General features: G+C 47.1%; 1 protein-coding gene across 2 annotated transcripts, besides 5 other annotated features; it reads right to left on the bottom strand.

Moving 5' to 3' along the window:
* Nucleotides 344-1,072: an enhancer, noted in NCBI's record as "OCT4-NANOG hESC enhancer chr1:26756121-26756849 (GRCh37/hg19 assembly coordinates)". NCBI's record gives its function as "activates a minimal SCP1, AML or CMV promoter by ChIP-STARR-seq in naive H9 embryonic stem cells {active_cell/tissue: H9 hESC(naive)}" and the evidence as "EXISTENCE:reporter gene assay evidence [ECO:0000049][PMID:30033119]".
* On the bottom strand, nucleotides 974-19,885 carry LIN28A (lin-28 RNA binding posttranscriptional regulator A). Of its 2 annotated transcripts, XM_011542148.3 has the most exons (5): nucleotides 19,780-19,885; nucleotides 19,120-19,316; nucleotides 5,215-5,399; nucleotides 4,234-4,460; nucleotides 974-3,456 (listed from the first exon to the last, which is right to left on the bottom strand). In XM_011542148.3, exons 1-4 carry the CDS (start codon nucleotides 19,808-19,810, stop codon nucleotides 4,244-4,246), a joined length of 630 nt encoding a protein of 209 aa, XP_011540450.1. In that variant the 5' UTR covers nucleotides 19,811-19,885; the 3' UTR covers nucleotides 974-3,456; nucleotides 4,234-4,243. The 2 variants fall into 2 exon arrangements, with proteins under 2 accessions (XP_011540450.1, NP_078950.1); NM_024674.6 differs by having other exon boundaries at nucleotides 974-4,460.
* Nucleotides 9,876-10,446: an enhancer, noted in NCBI's record as "NANOG-H3K27ac-H3K4me1 hESC enhancer chr1:26746747-26747317 (GRCh37/hg19 assembly coordinates)". NCBI's record gives its function as "activates a minimal SCP1, AML or CMV promoter by ChIP-STARR-seq in primed H9 embryonic stem cells {active_cell/tissue: H9 hESC(primed)}" and the evidence as "EXISTENCE:reporter gene assay evidence [ECO:0000049][PMID:30033119]".
* Nucleotides 11,591-12,162: an enhancer, noted in NCBI's record as "OCT4-NANOG-H3K27ac hESC enhancer chr1:26745031-26745602 (GRCh37/hg19 assembly coordinates)". NCBI's record gives its function as "activates a minimal SCP1, AML or CMV promoter by ChIP-STARR-seq in primed H9 embryonic stem cells {active_cell/tissue: H9 hESC(primed)}" and the evidence as "EXISTENCE:reporter gene assay evidence [ECO:0000049][PMID:30033119]".
* Nucleotides 20,619-21,176: an enhancer, noted in NCBI's record as "NANOG-H3K27ac-H3K4me1 hESC enhancer chr1:26736017-26736574 (GRCh37/hg19 assembly coordinates)". NCBI's record gives its function as "activates a minimal SCP1, AML or CMV promoter by ChIP-STARR-seq in naive and primed H9 embryonic stem cells {active_cell/tissue: H9 hESC(naive and primed)}" and the evidence as "EXISTENCE:reporter gene assay evidence [ECO:0000049][PMID:30033119]".
* Nucleotides 21,177-21,736: an enhancer, noted in NCBI's record as "H3K27ac-H3K4me1 hESC enhancer chr1:26735457-26736016 (GRCh37/hg19 assembly coordinates)". NCBI's record gives its function as "activates a minimal SCP1, AML or CMV promoter by ChIP-STARR-seq in naive and primed H9 embryonic stem cells {active_cell/tissue: H9 hESC(naive and primed)}" and the evidence as "EXISTENCE:reporter gene assay evidence [ECO:0000049][PMID:30033119]".

Raw genomic sequence — 23,861 nt, 5'->3', positions numbered from 1 at the left:
AGATGTTTTATTGGCACTTTCTAATTGATTATGTCTTCCACTCTTTCTAATGAAAGGGGTTATTTTAACACAGCAACATGATGAAAGAAAGCCCTAGAGATGAGTAGAAATGAATAGTGTTGAGCTTTTCCATCCTTCCTGCTTTGCAGCCTGGGGAGTAAATTTCAGTCCAAGTTACTTCATTTTGCAGCAAGACAATTTAATGAAGTCCACTAGTAGTTTGCTGCTTCATGAGGTTCTACTGTCAGCTTTGACTTTTGGTACAATTAAGGAGCCACAAAGTCCCTGGAGTAGATTATGAAACTTCTTACCCTTACTCTTATAATGTCAGGCTTGAGGATTTAAACCAGTTTCCCTGTTTCCTTGCACGGTGTTAATATACTTGGTTTGCCTCCAATCAAGTTTTTTTTTTTTCCTTTTTAAAATCCTCCTTCCCTTAGTGGGAATAGATGTTTAAAATTCAGTGTTCTTGCTTGATGACTTGTGATGTATATAAAAAAACTCGATGTTCATTAAAAAGCTAGCAAACTTTGGCTCAAAGAAAATGTTGCATTTATAGCTAGTCAGTGAATCTCCTCTGGCCTCAATTTCCCCAGTTCCACAACACATTTCTCTCCTTGGGGTGCTGCAAGCGGTTAATTAATTAAGATTTGTAAAAGGCTTTGAGGAGTAGGGGACAAAGTATTATTAGGGTCTCATGCCCCAAGCCATGGCCCCATCCTTTCATCCCAGCCAGTGGCACAGGCAACCCCATTCTTATGCATGCCAAGCCCCTAATCCCCTCTTGAATGTGGAAGCTTCCAAGGAAAGGACAAGAGGCCTTAACTAGAAACAAAAATCCACTGTAATGAGGTGCTAAGAGGACTGAACTTTCAAGATTCATTCCTAACAAACTGGCTGAACAGAAAAACTTCTGAGTCCCAATCCAAGAAAGTGGGAGTTATCGGAAGGGCAAAAACATCTGACAAGGGGATGACAGTTTGCGTACCAATAAGTCTTTATTTATTCATTGTATTTTCCCAGGGAAAGGAGAAGGGAAGGGAAGAGTCAGCTTGTGTTAAAAAATGATTAGAAAATGGGAAAGGAAGTACCCAGTACAGCAAAATCAACCATCAAATAAACACACCCCAGTGATGGGGTCACCAAAGCCCAAAGGGGCTCAGTCTCCTGCAGTTCAGGAATGAGGGAAAAGGATCAGGAAAAAAACAGACAGGTACAGGCTTTCCTACCCTCCCGCCCCATAAATTCAAGATTTTACACAAAGCTTTGGTTTTTAGCAGTAAACATGGAGTTACATTCGTTCGTCTCCTATTAAACAATCTTGTGGCCACTTTGACATAAAGTTTCTAGCACCTGCATAAAAGTTCCTGAGTGACTTGGATATACATTCATATTCCCTTTCTTGGCCTCCTGACCCCACTTTCTACATGGAAGGCCCCCAATTGCATCTCTTTACTTTAGGATTAGAAATTAAAATTAAGGAGGTTTGATCCATCCAAAATACAGTAGTGTGTTTTTGTTTTGTTTTGTTTTGTTTGAGACAGAGTCTTGCTCTGTAACCAGGCTGGAGTGCAGTGGTGCGATCTCAGCTCACTGCAACCTCTGCCTCTCGGGTTCAAGCGATTCCCCTGCCTCAGCCTCCTGAATAGCTAGGACTAAAGGCATGCACCACCACACCCGGCTAATTTTTTTGTATTTTAGTAGAGACGGGGTTTCACTGTGTTGGCCAGGATAGTTTTGAACTCGTGACCTTGTGATCCGCCCGCCTCAGCCTTCCAAAGTGCTGGGATTACAGGTGTGAGCCACCGCGCCTGGGCTACAGCAGTGTCTTAAGTGTTTGGCATGAATACACCAAGAAATGGTTGGCCCAGCATGGTGGCTCATGCCTGTAATCCCAGCACTTTGGGAAGCCAAGGTGGGCAGATCACCTGAGGTCAGGAGTTCCAGACCAGCCTGGACAACATGGTGAAACCCCGTCTCTACTAAAAATACAAAAATTAGCTGAGTGTGGCGGGTGCCTGAAATCCCAGCTACTCAGGAGGCTGAGGCAGGAGAATCACTTGAACCCAAGAGGCAGAGGCTGCAGTGAGCCGATCATGCCACTGCACTCCAGCCTGGGTGACACAGTGAGACTCCATTTTAAAAAAAAAAAAAAAAGAAAGAAAGAAATGGTAATGGTCTTGACTTAGGAGGTTGGGAACAAGGGATGGAGGGTTTTCCTAGCTTCAGTATTTTTGCATACATCATTTAAGAGTTGTGGAGACACTCCAAGCATGAAATGTGTATGTGTGTGGGTGTGTAAGTTTTCTTTTGGGGGTGAACAGAAAAGAGGGCAGGGTAGAAGACAAGTTTTTAGGACAGAAGATCTGGTCTAATAGGTAATAGGGGAAGGGGAATACAAAAGAAAGGATGGTTCAAGATCCCCACTTTAAGAAGAGGGCCCCCCAAACTAATGTTTCAGATCTTTTTGCCTGGTGCAGAACCTTCTGTCAAAGATGCTTTGGCTATTTTTCTCTCAATACAAAAAGAAGTTTGTAAACAAAACCCCCAAAGAACACGGAGAAAGACCAATACATTATATTTACACAAACTAGGCCACCTAGCAATCAACGTAGTGAAGTCCTACAAAGCCCAGACAAATACAGTAACTTGGGGGGCAGCATTTAGGGGAGACAAGAACCCAGGATCAGACACACACCACCCAATGCGTTCTATTGCATTTGTCCCGTTTCAACACAGTAAGGTAGGTTTGCGGTGATCTCACAGCGTGTAAACGAAACCCCCTTTTTCTCCTTTAGCTACCATGACACTATTAATCACTACTGTAGCAGGGCAGGACACAGGCTCCAGGCACCACAAAACCCTCGCTTGTGTGTCTCCCTGGAACCCGAAAATTTTGAAAGGTTAAGGATCTCACCTTACTTCATATATCCATCCCTCGACAGCACAGGATTAAGTACAGGGGTATTGGTCTTTAAACTTATCCTTAGCAACTCTAGTTTTACAAACACACACACACCCTGTGGCACATGGTAGGCCTAACCTAATCTGGTGAAGAACAGATCTGGAGATGTAAAGCACGTCCTGTGCCATAGGATTAGACAACCCTCACCTAATCTTGGCTTGCTCTCTGGCCTTTTCACCGGGCCCAGCCTCTCCTAGCCTCTGTGTACCACCATTTCCTGTTTAGACTAATTCCCAATCTTCCAGTAGAAGGCAATCAAGTCATGGGGCCACCCAGTTAAAACCTAGTCTCCCATAAAACATTTTCAAGGCAGAGGGGGTTTCAAGAGGACACTATGGCAGAAAAGCCAGCTCTTATTGGCAAAAATGAGGTAGTTCAATAGGCTGTGCACTCCAAATAGTTGCTCTCCACGGTGGCAAAAACAACAAAAAGTAATTCCTGCTGCGCAGACCTGGAGCTGCTGCTGGCTATCCCTGAGATTGCTCATGTACCTGAGAACACAGTGCAGGAAATGAGGGCCTTAGATTAAAATATACAAAAATACAAAACCAGAATATTTATATTAAGGAAAAAAAGTTAAAATGCACAAGATACGTCATTCGCACACAGCTAGTGCAGTTGGCATCCTGGAGAAAGTGGGACCCAAGGTGCAGTATCCAAGGGAGCAAATAAATAAAATCACATTGGCCCAGAATGGGGCGGGGGTGAGCATAGAGCAGCAGGTCTGCAGCTGTTCCCCCAAACACCCTTTTTGCCATCATCATTACCCATTGCTTGGGACAGCTGCCAGCACCCTATCCCAAAAGTGGGTATGAGGATACAAGATGTGAAAAAAAAACAATGCTTACTCCTGAGAGATCTCCTTCCACAGAATGTAGTGGCTTGGCTCCATGAATCTGGTCTTATACTTAATCATTTCACTCTGGCATGGGAATTATTATATATCCTTCTTTAAAAGGAAAACAACTTCCCTATCCAGGCCACTTTCAAAAGCTGGAAATTCTGGGGATGGAGACTCAAAGTATGCAGGTTGTAGGGTGATTCCCCCCTCCTGGTTGCCCCCAGAACCCTCACTTGCATTTGGACAGAGCATGGTTGGAGTTCCTTTGACTCACCCTTTCCCCCCACCTAGAGGGAAGAAAGGGTGATGGTGTGAACCCAAGCCTGAGATACATGGCAGTGCCAACTAGCCCCAATGCACCCTATTCCCACTTTCTCCACTCTGCCTGCTCCTCAAAACTTCCTGATAGCAAAAGAATAGCCCCCACCCATTGTGGCTCAATTCTGTGCCTCCGGGAGCAGGGTAGGGCTGTGGATTTCTTCTTCTTCCTCTCGAAAGTAGGTTGGCTTTCCCTGTGCACTAGGGCCCTGCTGGGCCTTCAGCGGACATGAGGCTACCATATGGCTGATGCTCTGGCAGAAGTGGCACTTCTTGGGCTGGGGTGGCAGCTTGCATTCCTTGGCATGATGATCTAGACCTCCACAGTTGTAGCACCTAGTACAAAGCAAGATCGTAAAAGTAAGAGAAAGGAGCAAGAAGAGGCCAGATGCCTCCCACGAATGAGGACACCTGGGCTCTGGTACAGGTTTGTCACTTACTTCCCTTCCCAGAGACCAAACTTCCCACTTGCAAAAGGAGGACTATTACTAAATGATCTCTAAGTCCTTTCCACATCTAATTGTCTAGGTGATCTCTTCAGATTCATGTCAACTTGAAAATACCAAGATACCAGAAATATAAGTTACTGACCCCAACTAGGAACTGCAACTTGGGGGATAGGAGAGATTCTTCCATACCCTTAATATAGGAGAAATTAAAGAAGCCAAATTATAGTATCTGTTCAGAGCTAAGGGGCTTTAAGCCCAAGCAAGATTAAGGAAACCAGCCATTTGCAGACCTGGTAAAGCAGCAACAGATATAGATAATACTGTCTTGTCCCACCATTTGCAAATCTATGATCTCCTTTAATTCTAAAACCATCCTAGGATGTTAGTATCACTGCCTCACTTAACAATTGAGGCTTAGAGACCACAGAGCAAACTTACTTGTCCCAAGTAGCACTAAGTCACCCCCAGTGGCCTCCTCACCTACTGCCCTTGCCCACACCTATTGCAGGCGCTCAGCCTTCCAGATGCTGCCAGGGACCACAGGCTTCCCTTTGTCTTTTGCAGTGTGACCCAAAAAGTGACAGGATTGGGAGACTGGGGATGCCCTTAGCAACCTATATAAGCTGCCTTCCAATCCATACCTGTCTCCTTTTGATCTGCGCTTCTGCATGCTCTTTCCTTTTGGCCGCCTCTCACTCCCAATACAGAATACTCCACCAGGTCCGGTGACACGGATGGATTCCAGACCCTTGGCTGACTTCTTAAAGGTGAACTCCACTGCCTCACCCTCCTTCAAGCTCCGGAACCCTTCCATGTGCAGCTTACTCTGGTGAAGGGAAATGCAGTAAATTTTAACATTAATTTCCATTATTATACCAAAAGACAAGGAACTCTTATTCCTGTAGGGTAGGAATCAAATGTGATGGTACTCCTATTTTACTGGTAAGGAAACTGACTCAAAGAGTCACTACGATTAAGAACAACAAAGTCTACCAGTACATTAACAAAAATCGTAATTATATAAGCAGATGCCATGACATTTTTGTAGCTATTCAGGTTTAAAGTTCTTAATAAAATAGAACAGAGGGCCGGGTACGGTGGCTCACACCTATAATCCTAGCACTTTGAGAGGCTGAGGCGGGAGGATCACCTGAAGTCAGGAGTTCGAGACCAGCTTGGCCAACATGGTGAAACTCTGTCTCTACTAAAAATAAAAAAAATTAGCTGGGCGTGGTGGCGGGCACCTGTAATCCCAGCTACTTGGGAGACTGAGGCAGGAGAATTGCTTGAACCCAGGAAGCAAAGGTTGCAGTGAGCTGAGATCACACTATTGCACTCCAGCCTGGGCGACAGAGTGAGACTTTGTCTCAAAAACAAACAAACAAACAACAACAAACAGAAAAATTTGTAAATACAAGCATTTGGAAGAAATCAACAAATATAAAATTACGAAATTTAAAGTGTCACACTATAGAGGTTGCAGTGAGCCAAGATGGCGCCTTTGCACTCCAGCCTGGGCAACACAGCAAGACTTCGTCTCAAAAATAAATAAATAAAATAAAAGTAAAAATAGCTGGGCATGGTGGCTCAGCCACACACGGTGGCTTACGCCTTTAACCCCAGCACTTTGGGAGGCTGAAGCAGGTGGATCACGAGGTCCAGAGTTCGAGACCAGCCTGGCCAACATGGTGAAACCCTGTCTCTACTAAAAATACAAAAATTAGCCGGGTGTGGTGGTGGGCGCCTGTAATCCCAGCTACTTGGGCAGTTGGGGCAGGAGAGTTGCTTGAACCCCGGAGGCAGAGGTTTCAGTGAGCCATCATGCCACTGTACTCTAGCCTGGTTGACAGAGCAAGACTCCATCTCAAAGAAATAAATAAATAAAATAAAAATAAAATGTCACGCTATGAAGCACTGAAATATTCATTTTTCACATAATGCCTCACTTAGTATTTATACCATCATCAAAAGACCAAATAAGTAGAATACTGGAAAAAATACAAAATCAAGTGGTATTTTTATAATCAAAGCAATATGATATGCCTTATTTAAAAAAGAAAAAAAAAAAGGCCGGGTGCGCTGCCTCACGCCTGTAATCCCAGCACTTTGGGAGGCAAAGGCAGGGGATCACGAGGTCAGGAGATCGAGACCATCCTGGCTAACACGGTGAAACCCCGTCTCTACTAAAAATACAAAAAATTAGCCAGGCGTGGTGGCGGGTGCCTGTAGTCCCAGCTACTCCGGAGGCTGAGGCAGGAGAATGGCATGAACCTGGGAGGCAGAGCTTGCAGTGAGCTGAGATCGCGCCACTGTACTCCAGCCTGGGTGACAGAGCAAGACTCCGTCGCAAAACAAACAAACCAACAAACAAAAAAACAAACTCAAGATGCTCAATGATTTAAGAAATAATACTAATGGGCCGTGCGCAATGGCTCATGCCTGTAATCCCAGCACTTTGGGAAGCCGAGGCGGGCATATCACCTGAGGTCAGGAGTTTGAGACCAGCCTGACCAACATGGAGAAACCCTGTCTCTACTACTAAAAATACAAAATTAGCCAGGCGTGGTGGTGGGCATCTATAATCCCAGCTACTTGGGAGGCTGAGGTAGGAGAATCACTTGAACCCGGGAGGCGGAGGTTGCGGTGAGCCAAGATTGCGCCATTCTACTCTAGCCTGGGCAACAACAACAACAAAAAAAAAAAAAAAAAAAAAAAGAAAAAGAAAAAAAAGGAAATCATAATAATGGCTGCAAAACATGTTAAAAAACCAAACAAACAGAATAGGCCAGGCACAGTGGCTCATGCCTGTCTGTAATCCCAGCACTTTGGGGAGGCTGAGGTGGGCAGATCACATGAATCCAGGAGTTCAACACCAGCCTGGCCTACGTGACGAAATGCCATTTCTACAAAAAACACAAAAATTAGCTGGGTATGGTGCGCAGACCTGTAATCTCAGCTACTCGAGAGGCTGAGGCAATTGTTTGAACCCGGGAGGCAGAGGTTGCAGAGATGGCACCACTGTACTCCAGCCTGGGTGATGGAGCGAGACTCTGTCTGGCTCACCCCTGTAATCCCAGCAGAGGTGGGAGCATCACTTGAGCCCATGAGGCGGAGGTTGTAGTGAGCCAAGATTATGCCACTGCATTCCAGCCTGGGCGACAGAGTAAGACCCTCTCTCAGAAACAAACAAAAACACCAAAACCCTCAGAATACATTTAACAAGGTAAAAAGCCTATATGAAGAAAAAACTCAAATATATTAAAGGAAAAAATGCAAAAACATACCACGATCTTGGATTGGAAGATTGAGTGATTCTAAAGGCTATGGGAAAATATAAATTGCCAAGAATACCAGATATTACAATTTAAATTGGATATAATCAGCAGTGTAGCAACTACAAAGGGAAAAACAGCAAGTTTACAGTGGAGAAAACTGGCAGATAATACCCTAGTCAAGTTCTTTGAGTTTAGCTTTGCCTACAATGGGACACACATATCTTCTAATATGATGCACTAAGGACTTATGACTTTAAAAATGCACATCCTGAATCTAACCTTGAGGGAACATCAGACAAACCCAAACTGAGGGACATTCCTATAAAACAGGACTTCAAAAATGTCAAGGTCATAAAAAGACAAAGCCTGAAGAACTGAACAGTTCAATGAAATCCAAGATTCCAGATTGGATCTTGAAACAGGAAAAAAAAAAAAAAAATAGGACAATTGACAAAATTTGCATATGGTATATAGATAAATGTACCAGTGTTTAATTTCCTGATTATGATTAGTGTACTGAAACGATGTAAGATTGATATTCCCAGCCAGGCACAGTGGCTGATGCCTATAATCCCCAGCACTTTGGGAGGCCAAGATGGGCGGATTGCTTGAGCCCAGGAATTCGAGACCAGCTTGGGCAATATGGCAAAAACCCATCTCTACAAAATAATACAAAAATGAGCCAGGCACAGTGGTACACACCTGTAGTCCCAACTACTGGGGAGGCTGAGGTGGGAGGATCCCTTGAGCCCAGGAGGCAGAGGTTGCAGTGAGCAGAGATCACACAACTGTGCTCCAGGCTGGGTGACAGAGTGAGACCCTGTCTCAGAAAAAAAAAAAAAAGATAAATATTCCCATTCTTGGGAAATACGCACTGAAATATTTAGAGATAAAAGTGCTTACTGTCTCCAACTTATGGTTTCAAAAAAAAAACTATCTGTAGCAAGATAGAGAATGATAAAGCAAATGGGGCAAAATGTTAAGAGTCAATGAATCTGGGTAGAGGTTATGTGGGAGTGTTGGGTATTGTTCTTGCAGCCTTTTTAAAGTTTGAAATTATATCAAAATAATGTTACCGAAAGACAGTATAACCCAAGCAGATGGATCAGAGGATTAAAATGGAAAATCACAGAGATCTGAGAATATATGGAGAAATCAATAGGTAAGAAAAATAATTCAATAAATGCTGCTATAAAAATTAATAATCCATTGGGAAAGGAAGTCATATTCCTACAGACTTTGTATGATACATATGCAAAATACATTTCAGAGGATTTAAACACCTCATTGTTAAGAAAAATACTGAAAAGTTAAGACAGATAATCAGACTGGTAAAACTACAAAAATATACCATAAATCACTAAGAAAAAAGAATTACACAACATAATATAAGTAGATTATCAGTAGGAAGTCTTAGCACGACACATATACTCAGTATCTCATTGTTGCTTTAAAAAAATTGGAAATAACCTACTGGTGTATTTGAAGGGGAATGGTTGAATAAATATGGTACATCTATAATAATGAATACCACGCAGCCATTAAGAACAACGTAAAGTCTTTGGTTTGTTCACAGCCACATTTTGGTACCTGAAATAATGCCTAGCACATTTTTGAATGAATTAATGAAACAGGAGGCAGATTTTTAATCATTCAGCTGAGAAAGATCACCAAATAATATTGTTAAAAGAAAAAACAAAAAGCAAGATTTAGAACAATATGTATGGAATAATCCTATTAGAACACTGCACGTTTGTACCAAAATTTAAGGACACTGATATTTATAAAGCAGTTAGCAAACAGCCAGCAGCCATCAAGAAAAAAAAAAAAAGTAGTTGTTGATACAGCTAGTTCTGTAGCAAAGCCAGGGTCAGATGAACCCAGAGTTCCTGATTTAAAGCTCAGAGCTCATTCTATCATGCCACTTACTGCACCACCAACTTGACATTAGCGGAGGTGACAGCATCTCAGACCCTACCCAGAATAGACTTCATTACAGCTTCATCTATTATAGTAAAACAACAGTGTCAAATATGTCAACAAGGAGTAGTCGTCATAGAAAATGGAGAAGCAAAAGGGATCACTGTGCACTTACCTAGTCCTGGCTCAAGGGAACATGAGTAAGTAGCATTCGTATTTTATGCTGGTGGCTGGGGGGTAATATTCCAAACTGGAACTTAAATGAAACATGCTCTTCATCAAGATGAAGGAACCACAGATTCCTTATCACTTAATTTTTTTTTTTTTTTTTTGAGAAAGTCTTGCTCTGTCGCCCATGCTGAAGTGCAGTGACACGATCTCAGCTCACTGCAACCTCCGCCTCCTGGGTTTAAGCGATTCTTCTGGGTTTAAGCTAGGACTACAGGCGCACGCCACCACACCCAGCTAATTTTTGTATTTCTAGTAGAGACAGGGTTTCACCTTATTGGCCAGGCTGGTCTCAAACTCCTGACCTCATGCCTCCTAAAGTGCTGGGATTACACACCATGCCCGGCCAAATTTTTGTTTTAAGATGATATTGCAGGCCGGGTGCAATACCTCTCTCGCTGTTTCACAGTAACCACCCTGAGTTTAAAGTTAGATTTGTAAGGTCGGGCATGGTGGCTCACAACTGTAATCCCAGCAATTTGGGTGACTGAGGCAGGTGGATTCTGAGCTTGAGGCTCAGGAGTTGGAGACCAGCCTGGGCAACAGGGCGAAACCCTGTTCTCTACAAAATAATACAAAAATTAGCTCAGCATGGTGGCATGTGCCTGTGGTACCAGCTACTTGGGAGGCTGAGGTAGAAGGATCGCTTGAATCTGGGAGGCAGAGCTTGCAGTGAGCTGAGATCGCGCCACTGCACTCCTGCCTGGGTGAGAGAGCAAGAACCCATCTCAAAAAATAAAGATTATATTAGATTTGACTTATTTTTTATTGAGCGGGGTGGGACAAGAGATGCAATTAGTGGGTGAGTTGGGAGGTCCTAGAGGAGCCAGACCAAGAGCCTTCTGGACCCAAGCAATTCCAGCTTCATTTGCTTGCCCAGCTTGTCTTAGGCTGGGACACTCCTAGTTCTAGCTGTGATTCAGCAGGTAAATAGTTAAGAACAAGGGTTGATTGAGTCTGATGGCCTGTTCCCTCCTTTCTTTAATCATCTATAAAATGGAGTAAATACTAATTTTATGGTAGTGCTGTGAGGTTTTACACATGAAAAGTAGTTAGCACTTCGCCTGCTACACATAAATCCTCAGGGAGTGGCAATTATCAACCTCTTCACACTGGGTGGCGTGGGTTAACAGAGAGAACTAAGTGCCAAGCATCTGGTTTTATCCTAACTAGCTATAGAAACTTAGAAGAATATCCCCTCTCTAAGCCCCAGTTGACTGGAGAGTAACACCTTCCTCTATGGACACCTCATAGGTTTATTTTAAGAGGATCATATAAATGGGGACATGCAACAAGAAATTGACTAGTCCTCTCAGGTCACTCACTGCATCACTGGAGGATCTGAGGTCTAAGACTTTTACAGAGTAAACCCCCACCCCTGCAGGTACCTCAGTGTAATCAAGAGATTTAAACTGGTGGTCTCCAGGGGTGGCTCCCTGCCCTCCTCCCCCGCCCCTTTCTAAAACACATAGTTTGAATTCCTCTCTTATCAGATAGGTAATCAGCGTGCAGCCCCACAGAGCCAGCCTCCCAGGGCCTGCATCTGAAAAGCGCCTGAAATTCTTGTACCACCCCCATTCCACCCCCAACCACACACAAAGCAGGGCCCCGCCCCCTTCCCCATCCCCTCCAAAAAGAAAAGACCTTAGGGGGAGGGGCATGGCCTGAGCTCCCCCAGTAGAGCCCAGCCCCAGGAAACAAAGAGTTGACACTGGCTGGTTCTGGTGGTCAGATTCCTGGAGTTCCAAGGAGCAGATCCCTCTTGCATCTCCCTCTCCCTCCTCCCCACATTCAACTGTTTCTTCCTTCCTCTCTATGTTGGGGTTATGGTCACGGGAGAGAACTAGATATAGAAAATTCTTCCTTCCCCAGGCAGTCTTGCCAAAGTCACCATCAGCAGCCATCTCCCTTCTCTGGCTTGCGCACTGCCCACTTCATGGATAGAACCAAACAGGACCCCCTCCCCTTGGGTCTCTTCAGTCCAATCCTGAATTATTGATTCAGATAAATTATTTTAAAGGGGAGGGGGAGAGAAGGCATGACCCATATCATCCTTTCCCAATTTCTTCAAGTTAGGACTGTGGGGAGCCTACATGGGCCTACTGTGTTGGGGAATGTGGCATCAGACAACAGACAGCATTTCTTTTTCTTTTTTTTTTTTTTAAAAAGTCTGGCTCTGTTGCCCAGGCCGGAGTGCAGTGGCACAATCTCGGCTCACTGCAAGCTCCGCCTCCCGGGTTCACGCCATTCTCCTGCCTCAGCCTGCCGAGTAGCTGGGACTACAGGCTCCTGCCACCATTCCTGGCTAATTTTTTGTATTTTTAGTAGAGACGGGGTTTCACCGCGTTAGCCAGGATGGTCTCGATCTCCTGACCTCATGATCTACCCGCCTCGGCCTCCCAAAGTGCTGGGATTACAGGCGTGAGCCACCGCGCCCACCCCAAGCATTTCTTTTTCTTTTTTTGATAACAGGGAAGGAATCTCTCCAGTTAAAGTACTTAGGCCTTCTGATCCCTTCTTAATACCTCAGTAATTGCCTGCCTTACCCTATCCAACCCACACCAAGTACCTCATCCCAGCTTCAATTTATGCCTTTGCAAGCTTAGAGATAGAATGAGCCTTAGGGGTCACTTAGGAAATGTGGAGTTAAAAACAAAAGAAAACATTATAAAAGAAAAAAGTATGAAGAGAAAAAAAAAAAACAACACAAAGGAACCTAAGTGTCCTTTCTCCAGAAGTGGCAACAGAATTTCAGGGTACTTGCTACAGTTGTGCAGATTAAAGCTGGGGTTCTTGGCTCTTCCGCAAGAGGCTATTCCAGATCTTCTTCCAGGGCCATTCCAGCCGGAAGATTCTGTAGTGCAGGTCTCTACCTCAATTCTAGGTTCTTAGCTTGCACAAGCATTTGTTGAATGTCTAAGTACTATGCAAAATAACTGTTACTAATTGATTCTTACTGTAGGCTAAGTGGCATTCTAACCACTTTACGTGTTGTAACTCATTTAACCCTCATATCAAACTGGTGCAGTGGGGTGATATGAAGACCCTCATTTTACAGCTTGAGGACATGGAGGCAGAGGGGTTAATAAGCACCTTGGTTAAAGTCGCAATAAGAGGCAAGAGCTGAGCTGAGTGCAGCTGGCCTAACTCTCCCCAGTGCAATTCATTATGATGCAAGTCACATATATAATTGAAAACTTTCTAGTAGCTACGTTTAAAAAAGCAGCTGATGAAAGTAATTTTAATGATTCAGTCCTGTGGTGTCACATCCCTAACTTAGCTTCATTCCTGGAGGTAAGATTTGGTAAGGGAGAACCAACCGGTTCTCCCAGAAGCAGTTATTCGATGGTGTGTGTGTCAAGGAGGGTGTGTGTCAAGGAGGTTGGTGAAAGGGGTGTCTGGAACAGAAGGCTGCAGGCAGCCAATCCCTCTGATCCCCTCTGCTCAGCCACAGCCAGGCCCTGTAGCTCCTGCCTGGAGTTCTCCACCAGATGGCGCTGCTCAGCCTGTCTGCCCAAAGGTAAGCCCGAGGGCGCCTATACCAGGAGGTACTGAGTGGCCCGCTACCTGGTCTGAGCTGTGAACTCAAGTGTTCGGGTAGATTTATCTCCACAGCTCCTTAGGGCAGTCATCTTGTCCTCCCCGTCCCACCCTGCCCCCACCCAACCACCGGCTTGATCAGGGATAAGAATGAAAGGTTCCTAGACTTTTAGGCCAGAAACTCAGTTCTTATATTCTACTGCTTAGAAAAGCCAAGTCCTGTCTAAATTAAATAACACCACGCTGGGCCAGTCATGGTGGCTCATGCCTGTAAATCCAGCACTTTGGGAGGCCGAGGCAGGCGGATCACCACGAGGTCAGGAGTTCGAGACCAGCCTGGCTAACATGGTGAAACCCCATCTCTACTAAAAATACAAAACATTAGCCGGGCATGGTGGCAGGTGCCTCTAATCCCAGCTACTCGGGTGGCTGAGGCAGGAAAATCGCTCAAACCTGGGAGGTGGAGGTTGCAGTGAGCTAAGACGGCGCCACTGCACTCCAGCCTGGGCAACAGAGAGAGATTCCGTCTCAAAAAAAATAAAAAACCTCGATGGTGAGATCATGTTAAATAAGTCTGTATCAACTGTGTATTCTCCCCCAACTCCTTTGACCTCCCACTCTGACTATGTGGCCAGTGGTTGCTATTCATGCCTGCAGGAAGACAGGAGGCATAGTTTTACCTAGGGCAGTTACTCCAAAAAACAAGAATTCCAGTAGAGTGTGATTAGCAATGTTCAAAAAACTAAATGGCCCTGGTGAATGTTACTGAAAACCACTTGTAAGGCAGGCAGCAGTGTCAACAACCAGAGGGTAGAAACATCCCATATTTGAAGCTTTGTTCAGGATGGTGTCACAGCCTTTACTTTACACTGTCGCCGGGCATCATGGCTCATGCCTGTAATCCCAGCACTTTGGGAGTCCCAGGCAGGTGGATCACTTGAGGTCAGGAGTTTGAGACCAGCCTGGACAACATGACGAAAACCCTTCTCTACTAAAAATACTAAAATTAGCTGGGTGTGGTGGTGTACATCTGTAATCCCAGCTACTTGGGAGGCTGAGGCAGGAGAATTGCTTGAACCCAAAAGTCAGAAGTTGCAGTGAGCCGAGTTCGTGCCACTGCACTCCAGCCTGGGCGACAGAGCAAGACTCTATCTCAAAAAATAAAAATAAAAATAAAAAAAAGACATTGTCTAGAAGCATGTCTCAGAAAGAAGAGGACCCCAGAAGATTCCACAATGTCTTCATGAACCTTCCTACCTCTCTACCAACTTTCTGAAAAATCGAGTCAATTTATTTTTAAGCTGCCTTTTCTTATTAAGACAGAAATAACTCATGGATGACCACTAAATCCGTGGCTTCCACTCTGTCAACAAAAACGAGAGGAACCTCTCTGGGCTCCGAGTGGTGATCTACCCATATTCACTCCACAAACTTTCATAGTGCTATGTTGTGCCCAGGCCATATTCTATGTTGTGCCCAGCCCAGAAAGCGAGCAGCTACAATTGACACCCCTCAGTATCTCTAGTCTTTTTCTCTGAACAAAGATCTCTGCCAACATGGACCCCAGACTGCTAAGTGTACTTCTGATTCACCAAGGTCCTCAAGATGCCCCTTTTCTTATTCATTCCTCAGCCCACCAAATGCATACTAGAAAATTAACCAGGCAGCTAAGTTCCTCCCTTCAAAGAGCTTATGGGTTACATAGAGAAGGGTATAAGACCAGTACCTCAATAACTAGACATGAGGTGAGTAATCAGAGGTGCAGTGTTACAAACCAGGAGGAAAGATTCCGTATATTTCCCCACCCGCCCCCGCAACCCTAACACCAAACCCAGCAGTCCTAACCTAGACCCTGAATAAAGTTGCTCTTACCACCTCCTCACTCATGGCTTTTAGAAAAAGAAGGCCACCTGGCTACAGGGCAATTTCAGCAGTTGTCTAGGTATTGAAAACCTTTTCTCCTAACCCAACTTGGTCCCTTGGTCAAATCTGGGCTTTTGACTCCAAGTCTTCTAATATAGCATTTTAGCCAGAAAGCCAATTTAAACATATTTGAGATTGAAACATATCTGGGTCCTGAGGAGCTATGGGAAAGCAGGGAACTTTTCTTATTTCCAAATTTCTATAAATCTTGAGAGTTTGCAAATTGAGCCACAGGAAACATGAGTTAAGCCAAAACTCTTAAAATGGCCCAAAATGAGGATTTTTGAATTCTTGATGAATCTCAGGAAAATAGTTGACAGTTTAGCTTTCTTGTTCCAGCTTTCCTATATAACTGTGTTTCTCAAGCAGGGATGAGATTTTTGACTCCAAGGGGACATTTGACAATGTATGGAGATGTTTTTGGTTGTCATACCTAAGATGCAACTGGCTTCTAGTGGGTAGAGACCAGGAATACTGCTGTACATCCTATAATACATAGGACAGACTCCCCAGAACAAATTATCCTGCTCAAAACATGTCAATAGTGCTGAAGTCGAGAAACTCTAATTTAAGGGCTTGCTATCTATTTCCCTAACTCTAGAGACAGGCAGATTTCTAGATCTAAAGATGTGTACCTAAGGAAAAGAGTTGTTATAGAAATCTCTTTGCTTTTTGTTTTGTTGTCGTTTTGCTTAGTTTTTGGCTGGGGGTGGGCTTTTCCCCCCACTCATCTACTCTTGAAGAGGATATTACAGCATTTGGGAGAGAGCATAAGAACATTAGTTAACAGGGCATTGGGATCCTAATAACCCCAACTTTGGAAAGGAAAAGAAAATGTTTTTAAATTGCCTTTCCCCCTTCCTCTTTATTTGCAAAGGGGCTCCCTGACCCCCTCCCTCTGGTAGATGCTATCTTAGGACAATTACCTTCTCACCAGCCCACCCCAACCCCAGGGTGCCCAACCCCAGCAGCCAAAGAATGGGAAGTTTTGTTAAAGATTTCTTACCCTCTGCTTCGGGAACACTTTCCTCCTCCCCCAGTAAACAATTTATCCTGTGTTTACTAAATTCCTTTACCATAAGATTTCCAGAGAGTCATTTCTAATTTCACAAATGCAGAAGAGTGGTGGCTCATGCCTGTAATCCCAGCACTTTGGGAGGCCAAGGCGGGCGGATCATCTGAGGTCAGGAGTTCAAGACCAGCCTGACCAACGTGCAGAAACCCCGTCTTTACTAAAAATACAAAAAATTAGCCGAGCGTGGTGGCACATGCCTGTAATCCCAGCTACTCAGGAAGCTGAGGCAGGAGAATCGCTTGAACCTGGGAGGCGGAGGTTGCGGTGAGTGGAGATCATGCCATTGCACTCCAGCCTGGCCAACAAGAGCCAAACACCATCTCAAAAAAAAAAAAAAAAAAAGCAACAAACAAACAAACAAACAAACAAAAAAACAAGTGCAAAGACTGGAATCACTAATCTAACTTACGGTTAAGGTGGGGTTGGAGGACCCCTGACCCAAGCCTTTCTGGCATGCTACCATTATCAGAGCTACCAGGTAAAGGCTCAGGGAATTTCCACCCATCATTGTGCTTTGTGAGTAGAATGGGAAGAGCTGGGGATTAGAGAGACAAATTCTTAATTCTCTTCCAGCTCAGCTCCCTATTGACAACTTACTCAACTATGGGTTCCTGGATGTTCCAAGAGCCTAAAATCCAGAGTATTTCCAAGCCAGCACATCTGACCCAGCATGGTGTAGACTCAATGCCTGCTCTATGCCATCCAATAGTTTCCCAATTGCTCTAGATCCTAAGGTGAAGCCTGCTGAGGCCCAAGTCCCCATTTGCTCAAACAAACAAACAAACAAAACAAGAAAACACCTTCCTTGGGGTATGTATATCACCAAGGAACCCAGAAGATGAGGGGATACATTCCCCTCAGCCCCTCCCTATCTGGCAGCCTTTGGATGGGAGATGAGAAAACGTTGGGTCTGACTCTTTTATTCCAGCCTCCCAAAGTTGGGGGAGCTGTCCAGTCCCCAGACCAGGAAAGATTTTAATCTCTTTGTGATCAGATAAATGGGAGAGTGGGGGAGGCTTGCTACCCTGCTGAGGAGGGCCATTCAAAGCTGGTTCCTGTAATAAAGTGATTTAATAGATCTAAAAAGGCCAATTCCCTTCTTTCTCCCACAATTACTTCCTGTGGGTTATCATTCACATATGTAAATGAGACAGAGAAGGGAGAAAAGCCACTAGTGGGAAACTAGCTGTCTAATGGGGGGTTGGGGGAATAAGGGTGCTGCAAAGGGGCAGCTCAGTATCCTGCTGCAGGTCCTCTTGGCAGATGTTCAAGTAGCCCACTGACCCCATGGCCCCAACAGTAAGTGGTGGCTCCCCATCTCCCTGCGTCTATTTCCCTTGTTTGTTCCTCACTGAAGGCTGTGCTCAAAGACGTCCCTGCTGCCTCCAACTAGTCCATCCAGCATCTCCCTTCTCTACCCCTCCCCCAAAGAATGCCATCCCTTCAGGCTCCAACCCTTAATCCCCACATCCTCCTTTCCCCTCCCCCACACCTCCTAAAGCCAACCTCCCTTAAGTAACCCCTCCCTGCCCGGCCTGGGTGTCAACCTACACGATCTGGGATTAGCAATTTCTTCTTTCCAGATCCAGTCCCAAACCTCCAAAGATGGAAGGGCCATAGGCAGCAAGCAACTTCCTTTCCATGGTCTTTATGGGTAGCTGGTGGCCCAGGACCACCGGAATGCCTCTAGGATATTCAGGAAGGGGAAGCCTGGGAGGAGGGAGACCTGAAGTCTCTGGCTCCTTGTTTGAGGCCAGGAATGTTAAGACAGCAATCAATGGCTGTCTGGGGCCATAAATGCCAAGCGGAGAATAGGACCAGAGGCCAGCCTCCCTTCACCCCCTGCCCTGCGACACTGAATTTCACCCCCTACTGTGCTGCCCTGCTTTAACTGAGAACTTGGGGTTGCGACCTACCGACTTCCCTCCCAGCCTGGCCCAGGAATGTAAGGAAGGCCTGGGCTCTTTGGGTTTTCCTTCCTCACGGGAACTGGACAGCAAAGACCCCAGTCCTGAGCTTTCAAGCCCCCACAGGGATCCTTCAGGGATCTGCCAAACCCAGTTTTTAGTGACCAGCCAGGTGAGGTCTGCATTAAAAAGGGGATGAGGCTGACTTCTCGGCTTTACGCCCCTTGGGTCCAGTAGCCAGTTGCCCTCACTCTCTCCCGCCTTCTGAGCTCCATTCAGACGTTGGAGGAGCTGGGCTCCCGGCTTAGGCCCGGCATGTGCTTCCCTGGCCGGCCTGCTCGCCCTCCCCCCACCGGCAAGCACAATACAACCTTAGTTTCTGCCACATGGGGTCACCTCCCTGCCCCCTGCCCCTTCCCAGGGGAAAGAGGTAATAGACACGTGGTAAGCCGGAGGGGTTCCCGGAAGGGGGCGGGGGTGCTGATAATTGGTGCTGCCTCCCACTACTCCCCCACGAGATAGTTAACAGGGACTCAGAATTGGGGTGCCGAAGCAAAGACAGGGATGCATAATGAGGGCTCCCGATGGCCCTCAATTCAACTGCGAGCCCGGAGCCCACCCGTGGATATGGGCGCCTAGACGCCCTTCCCTGGGCAAAGTTACCGGAATCAGTCTCACCTGGTGCACAAAGACATCCACTGGGGGGTCGAGCGCGACCCCGGCGCGGGCGGTCATGGACAGGAAGCCGAACCCCATGCGCACGTTGAACCACTTACAGATGCCCGCACCGTGCAGCAGCTGAGGCTCGTCCGCCGCCCGGGCCGCGTCCTCCGGCGCCTCCTCGGGCGCCTCTTCTGCCGCCTTGGCGCAGCCACCTGGAGAGAGGGAGGGCCGGGCACTTAGCTGGGGGGCACGGAATCGGAGGGCCGTCTCGGGCCCCAGGCAGGGAGACCCGAGTATCCAGCCCCACAAGTGGACAGCCAGGAGGGGGCAGCTACCAAGCAACAGAAGAGAAGAAACCTATCCCGGTCGCCTCCCGCGTTCCCCTAGCGTACACCGGGACAGTAGTGCCCCGAAAGTTTTGCTCCTCTTCCCACAACGCGTTTCCCAGAGACTCACGGCGGGACAAGCCTCTCCTCTCCATCCACCCACGTAGTCTGGCGCGCACGCCACTGGGACACCAAGGTTCCTGGCCCCAGAGACGGCCCTATGAAGCAGAAGGCCGCACCGTCTTGGGGTCCTTTGGGCAGCCTAGGACTCAGTTCCCCACCTCCCTTCTACGTGGCTCCTGGCCGCCCCTGAATCCTAAAGTGTCCCCGCTAAGTCCCGAGCTCGAACCTGCAAACTGCTGGTTGGACACGGAGCCCATGGTCGTCGGCTGAGCCCGTGGCCCCGGGCCCCTGGTCGGGCGGCTGCTGGCCCCGGAGAAGTCCGAAGGCAAAGGGTTGGTTCGGAGAAGAAGCTGCTACATCTTCCCCCGCACAATAGCGGTGGGAGGGCCCACGGCTTTTCAAAGGCTCCCAAATTCTAAAAGACAATGACCCAACCCCCCGCGGGCAGCCCCCTCCCCTCCCCTCCCTCTCCTTTCCCCTCCCTTTCCCTCCGGCTCCAGCTCCGGCCCTCCCCCACAACTCCGGTCTCTGACACCTCTGGGGTGTCCCTTCTCAGAACCTTGAGGTTTGACACCCCCTCCCCACACGCACAACTGGAGATGGGTCTGTCTGCCCTAGAAGACTTGAGTACCCCGGAATTTGAGATCCTGCACTTTGGACTCAGTAGGGGTCCCCAAAGCAGATACAGGTGGGGGACCTGGTGGGGGGGGTAGTTTTAAAACCACGTGACTGCACACACACACACACACACACACACACACACACACACACCACCCCCACCCCCCGGGCAGATAATTATACATTCCAGAGAGTTGGGGGAGGGAGGTGTGAGCCTGGCGGCGCTGGCCAATCAGAAACACAAACCACCTGTCAAGGGAGAAATGAATGGGCCCTCCCCCTCCCCCAGCCCTTGAGCTCCCCTCCCCCTCTCTTCCCCCTCAGGCCTCTGAGCTGACCCGGCTGCTTGGAGCTGACCCGCTCTCACCCCCCACCCCCGTGTGCTTAGATAGACCTGGAGTTCTGGACACTGGGAAGCCCGGGATGGGGGAGCAGGGGAGAGGCTGGGGACACACAGGGCTGATCTGTCCTGACCAAAGCGCTGCCTTCCAAAGTCTGTCTGCCTCTGACTACATCTGAATGTCTGCCTCCCAGAGTTTCTGACTCAGAGTTTTTCTGGGCCTCCCCCAGTTAGAAAAGAGAAAGTGCTCTTAATTGATTCGTTGTAAAGAATTCTTCCTTCTTTCCTCCCTCCAAACCTGTGTGTCTAAAGTTAGCCCCAGGTAAGCTCCCTGGAGAGCAGGAGGAACCCAAAGAGTCTTGAAGCTGTTTCTCCACCAGCTGCCTTCTCGTCCTACCCCCACCCCATCCCCATCCACTGCTGAGAGAGGGACTGGGTGGGCTGGTGGGTAGAGGTACTTCCTCTCTACTCTTCACACTCTTAGATTCCTAGGCCCTCCTTGTTTCAGAGTAACCACCCTAAAATGCGCTCCCATTCCGTAGTGGGGCTGGTGGAGGAACAGGACTGGGGGGCCTCCTCATTTGAAGAGGTAACCTCCCCTTCTAGGAGATAAAGACGGCTGGCTAGTGGGGGTGGCTACTGCCCTGGTCGGAGATGGACAATGGCCCGGGGCTCAGTGCACGGCCCTGGCCCTGCCCCTTCACTTCCGGTGTTCAGTTCAAACTGGACAATGCCAGCTCCGGCCAGTTCCCCTCCCCCACCACTACAACCCATTTAAAGGGACAGAGCCTGCTTTCGGGGGCATCCGCTTGCTCTGAATTCAATCTTCTCCACCGAGTGTGCAGAACCTTTTGGAATTCTCACGCTGTGGCTCTGTGTGTGTGTTTGTGTGTGTGTGTGTGTGCACGTGCGGATGTGGGCACATGTGTATTTCAGAGAGACCGGATGAGTGGGGGTAGGGAAGGGGAAGATGGGGAGGAAAGCAAGAGACTGCAGAAGTTATTTCCCTTTCTCTCGTACGGGGTGCTCTCCAAGAAATGAAAACTTGAGCGTAAGGAATGGGAGGTGGGACTTCGTGGGGTAAAAAGGACAAGAGTGGCCCTTTGCTGCTCCGCCTAAAAAATACATATCGTTAACAAATATTATTAGCAGTGCCCCACTCCCATCTGAGGACTCTAATTTAGAATTATCAAGAGTTCTCCTAGTACATCAGCCAAAGCCATTTTTATTTACATAATTCTCCTCTCCCAAAAGTCTTATCTCCCGCTGTTAGTGGCGCCCTTAAAATATATTCGCTCCGTGTACCTCTGTTCCTAAGACTCAGGAGCAAGTGGCTGAGGTCTGGCTGAAGAAAAGGGAGGGAAAGGGGAGTTGAACGCTCTGGCTTCTCTAGGTGGGTTCTCAAGTGATGCGAATTCGGTTCCCCGGGAATGCGCGGCCTGCTTCTCTGTCCAGGGTCCTGAGGGCTCCAGCAGCTCTGTCCACGGTGCTGAATTGAGTCACGCTGTCTTGATTCCCAGCTCACAGTTTTGAGAATAACTTCTTGAGTTCCCACCTCCAAGTCTTTCCCAGAAAACCTGATTTTCCTCAATGCCGGTTCCCGCTGTGGTAACACTGACACATTTCAGATGAATGAAGACACTTTTTTTGGGGGACGGAGTCTTGCTGTGTTACCCAGGCTGGAGTGCAGTGGCACGATATCTGCTCACTGCAACGTCTGCCTCCTGGGTTCAAGCAATTCTCGTGCCTCAGCCTCCCGAGTAGCTGGGATTACAGGCACATGCTACCACGCCCGTCCAATTTTTGTATTTTTATAGAGACGGGGTTTACCATGTTGGCCAGGCTGGTCTTGAACTCCTGACCTCAAGTGATCCGCCCGCCTGGGCCTCCCAAAGTGCTGGGATTATAGGTGTGAGTCACCGCACCCGGCCTAAGATACTTTTTTTGAATGCTAAAGAAATGGCACTTTCGACCGGGCGTGGTGGCTCACGCCTGTAATCCCAGCATTTTGGGGGGTCAAGGTGGGAGGATTGCTTGAGGACAGGAGTTTGAGACCAGCCTGGGCAACATGACGAAACCCCATCTCTAAAAAAAATACAAAAATTAACCGGATGTGGTGGCGCATGCCAGCTACTTGAGAGGCTGAGGTGGGAGGATCACTTGAGCCCAGGAGGCCGAGGTTGCAGTGAGGAGATAGTGCCATTGCACTCCAGCGTGGGTGACAGACTCACCCAGGCCTTGTCTCAAAGAGAGAGAGAGAGAGATTCCCAGTAGTATATGATTTTGTGAGAGAGATGCAGGTATCTCAAACTCCTCTTCAGAAAAATGGGAAACCTACTTCCCATAATATGGCTGTAAAGGGTTAGGAAAGAAGAGATAATATTTTTTGAGTCAAAGAAGACCAAAGTAGAAGAAAAACTAATCTCTGTTTTTAATTTTCTTTTCTTTTTCTTTTCTTTTCTTTTTTTTTTTTTTTTTTTTTTTTTGAGATAGATTCTCACTCTACTGCCCAGGCTGGAGTGCAGTGGTGCGATCTTGGCTCGCTGCAACCTCTGCCTCCTGGGTTCAAGTGATTCTCCTGTCTCAGCCTCCTGAGTAGCTGGGATTACAGGTGCCCACCACCATGCCTGGCTAATTTTTGTATTTTTAGTAGAGACAGGGTTTTACCATGTTAGCCAGGCTGATATCGAACTCCTGACCTCAGGTGATCCGCCCACCTCGGCCTCCCAAAGTGTTGGGATTACAGGCGTGAGTCACCACTCCCGGCCTTATTTTCTTAATTATTACCACTTTTTAAAGGAGTACAAGGCATTAGAGTCAGATTACCCATGTTCGAATGTCAGCTCTACTATTTACAGCTCTTCCTTAACCTCTATATTCCTCTGTTTCTTCCTCTGTCCTATAGGAATAATGAGAATACTGAGGCCTCAGAGATATTGTGAGGATGAAGTTAGATCATGTAGGCAAAGCTTTTGAAACAGTTCCTGTCATGTAGTTAGTTCTTCTTCTTCTTCTTCTTCTTTTTTTTTTTTTTTTTTTTGAGACGGAGTCTTACTCTGTCACCCGGGCTAGTGTGCAATGGCATGATCTCAGCTCACTGCAACCTCTGCCTCCCAGGTTCAAGCCATTCTCCTGCCTCAGCCTCCCAAGTATCTGGGATTACAGGTGCCTGCCACCATGCCCGGCTAATTTTTGTATTTTTAGTAGAGACAAGGTTTCACCATATTGGCCAGGCTGGTCTCGAACTTCTGACCTCGTGATCCACCCACCTCGGCCTCCCAAAGTGCTGGGATTACAGGTGTGAGCCACCGTGCCCAGCTGACATGTAAAAAGTAGTACACACTAAGTAG

Source organism: Homo sapiens, chromosome 1 (genome assembly GCF_000001405.40).
Source record: "Homo sapiens chromosome 1, GRCh38.p14 Primary Assembly".
Lineage (NCBI taxonomy): Eukaryota > Metazoa > Chordata > Mammalia > Primates > Hominidae > Homo > Homo sapiens.
This window is presented reverse-complemented; position numbering and strand designations above follow the sequence as displayed.

What these genes read in the sequence shown, in the direction of transcription:
- LIN28A (NM_024674.6), bottom strand. Translation starts at nt 19,810, where the DNA reads ATGGGCTCCGTGTCCAACCAGCAGTTTGCAG. An exon ending in GTCCAACCAGCAGTTTGCAG is followed by an intron (nt 19,317 to 19,779) that starts GTTCGAGCTCGG and finishes CCCTCTCTCCAG; the next exon opens with GTGGCTGCGCCAAGGCGGCA. An exon ending in TGGATGTCTTTGTGCACCAG is followed by an intron (nt 5,400 to 19,119) that starts GTGAGACTGATT and finishes TCCCTTCACCAG; the next exon opens with AGTAAGCTGCACATGGAAGG.